Below are 2,269 nucleotides of genomic sequence, written 5' to 3'. Positions count from 1 at the left end.
ACACAGACACCCACAGACACACATTCAAATTTCTTAATGGTAACAATAAATCCACAAACAACAACTAATACATAAGGTTTTTTTTTTGAGTGTATGCATTTAGAAATTTTCAATCATAAAATAAATTTGATCAGTTCAGATTTGGGGAAATCTATCTTAAATGAAATTATTCTATGATAAGCATTATAAGCTTCCAGGGACAGAGTATATAACACTAACTACACTGTAACATTAACTACAATCCTGTGTCCATAGTCATGAGAAGACAGTTTTAATGGCTTTCATTAAAAACCTAGTGGAGAGAGAACAAATCAGGATTTGGAAACTTTCTATTGCAAACTCAAATGCAGAGTTAACTAAAATCTATGATGTTGACTCTTTCCTAAAATATTCCTTAACACATGTTAAATGATTATGACAGGAGCAAGTACAGCCTCTAGTCATCCTTCCAACCTTTTGGCCCTCCTGCATACACAAGCACACACAGACTACCACCAATATTATTACAGCAAAGGAGCAAAGGGAAATAAAAGAAGCAGTTCACAGAGAGTCTCTGAATATTTTAGATTTTTAAAGGCTAATTTCATCCTTTTGATTCCTATAACTTAAAAAAAAAAACCTAAACAGCTTACATCCCTGAAATTGAAGTGTGCCATAAACACAGAAAAAAGATGATGGTCATGATTCCCAAGCTGTAGAAAGTCCCTACGGAGCATTTTCACCCAGGAGAAGGTTTGCCTCATTAACCTTTAGGTGATGGCAACTGAGTGAGACAGCAGAAAAAAGGGGTTGGAACAGCTCAAGGAAAGATGACAATGAGTCAGAAGTAAGATGGGTTGTGACAGGGCCTATCTCTAAAGAAAAGAAAAAACATGGAAATAGGCGACACGAATGGGAAGTGACAGGAAGAAACTGTTTGGGACTGTAAATGAGCACAGTGGGAAAAGATGTGGAACATGCATTGGAGTGAAACCACTGAATTATGGGATTATGACCCCAGAACTGTTAGCATAGCAATATTGTCTCCCAGCCGGTGGAGCCGGGCTAGATTTATTATACATCCTACTGCCTTCCTCATCATGTTCTCACAGAAGCAGCAAAGTCAATTCCAACCAGAAAATTAATCAACTCTTTTCCCTTTTTTGCCTCTTCTTTGCTTCTTACATTAGTGAGAAAATGTAAGTTTTTCCCTACGTGGTTGTGACCTCACAGACTGGTGACCCATTAAGAGATCCTGTGGAGAACACTTCATTCTGTGTTTTCTTCTTTCCGTCAGGGCTGATGTCCCTTTGGAAGTGTTAAATTGGTCCTCTCTTGTTCAGGCCCCAGTACATTTACCTGTAATTCTTACAATAAAAATCTCTTTTTAAAATGAAGAAGTCAGGGATGTAAGTGTCTCCATTTAGTGCTTGTGTTTGAACCTCAGGTGTTTCTTGTTTGTATTTTCCCTGTGGGCACTGTTAACAGACTGCGTGTGGCAGGAGGCCCCCTGACTCTGAAATCTAGGTCACAGGCTGATGGCTCCTTGCACAGCATCCACTCTGTTTCTAGGGACAGCCCCTCTCTACTTTGAATTAAAGATACTTAACACAACCCTAAATACTGTGAAATGTTACAGCGTTATGCAATTGAGTTCAACAGGAGCACATTGGCTCACACCTCCTGAATGTTGGACAGCAAGAGCTGTGGCCATTCTGCGCTTTACCCCATGCAGTCTCACTTTTAAATGAGAAAGCAAATAAACACTTAACCTGCTGTGTGTTCAATGTCTCTCTGCTTGCATTACTTGCTTGATAACAGATGCTTAAAGATGAAGAACAATAACAGGAAGTAGGGTAAAGCTTTTGAGACAGAAAAGTTTTTATTTGATGCAGATTTTTTTTATAGAACACACACACACATGTACACACACAAACATGTGTGTGTGTCTGTATAATTATAAGCCAGAGACTGAAAGCAAACAAAACTCAGAGAGCTTGTAAAACCTGAAAGTACTGCTGTCTGTAGGATAAAATGGCTGCTTTGTGACAAAGCACAGGGTGACTGGTGTTTTCTCCTGAAAAACCTGAGGCTGGAGGCACTCCAAAATCAGCAGCACGGGAATTCTTACAAACAAGTGCCCCAAACCATCCCAAGATGGGACCAGCTGGGTTCCAAAGAAAGAAACACTAAATACCAGGGTAATCAGTTCAAAGCATTTATTCGGAAAACTGAGCTGCAGAGTGGGCTGCAGCAGTCCTTCAGCAGGACAAGGACAGAAAAAGGATGT

At 39.8% G+C, this 2,269-nt stretch overlaps 1 annotated feature.

Moving 5' to 3' along the window:
• Positions 1,092 to 1,921: an enhancer, noted in NCBI's record as "OCT4-NANOG-H3K27ac hESC enhancer chr3:86224689-86225518 (GRCh37/hg19 assembly coordinates)". NCBI's record gives its function as "activates a minimal SCP1, AML or CMV promoter by ChIP-STARR-seq in naive H9 embryonic stem cells {active_cell/tissue: H9 hESC(naive)}" and the evidence as "EXISTENCE:reporter gene assay evidence [ECO:0000049][PMID:30033119]".

The sequence above is a fragment of the Homo sapiens genome, chromosome 3, assembly GCF_000001405.40.
Source record: "Homo sapiens chromosome 3, GRCh38.p14 Primary Assembly".
Taxonomy (NCBI): Eukaryota; Metazoa; Chordata; class Mammalia; order Primates; family Hominidae; genus Homo; species Homo sapiens.
This window is presented reverse-complemented; position numbering and strand designations above follow the sequence as displayed.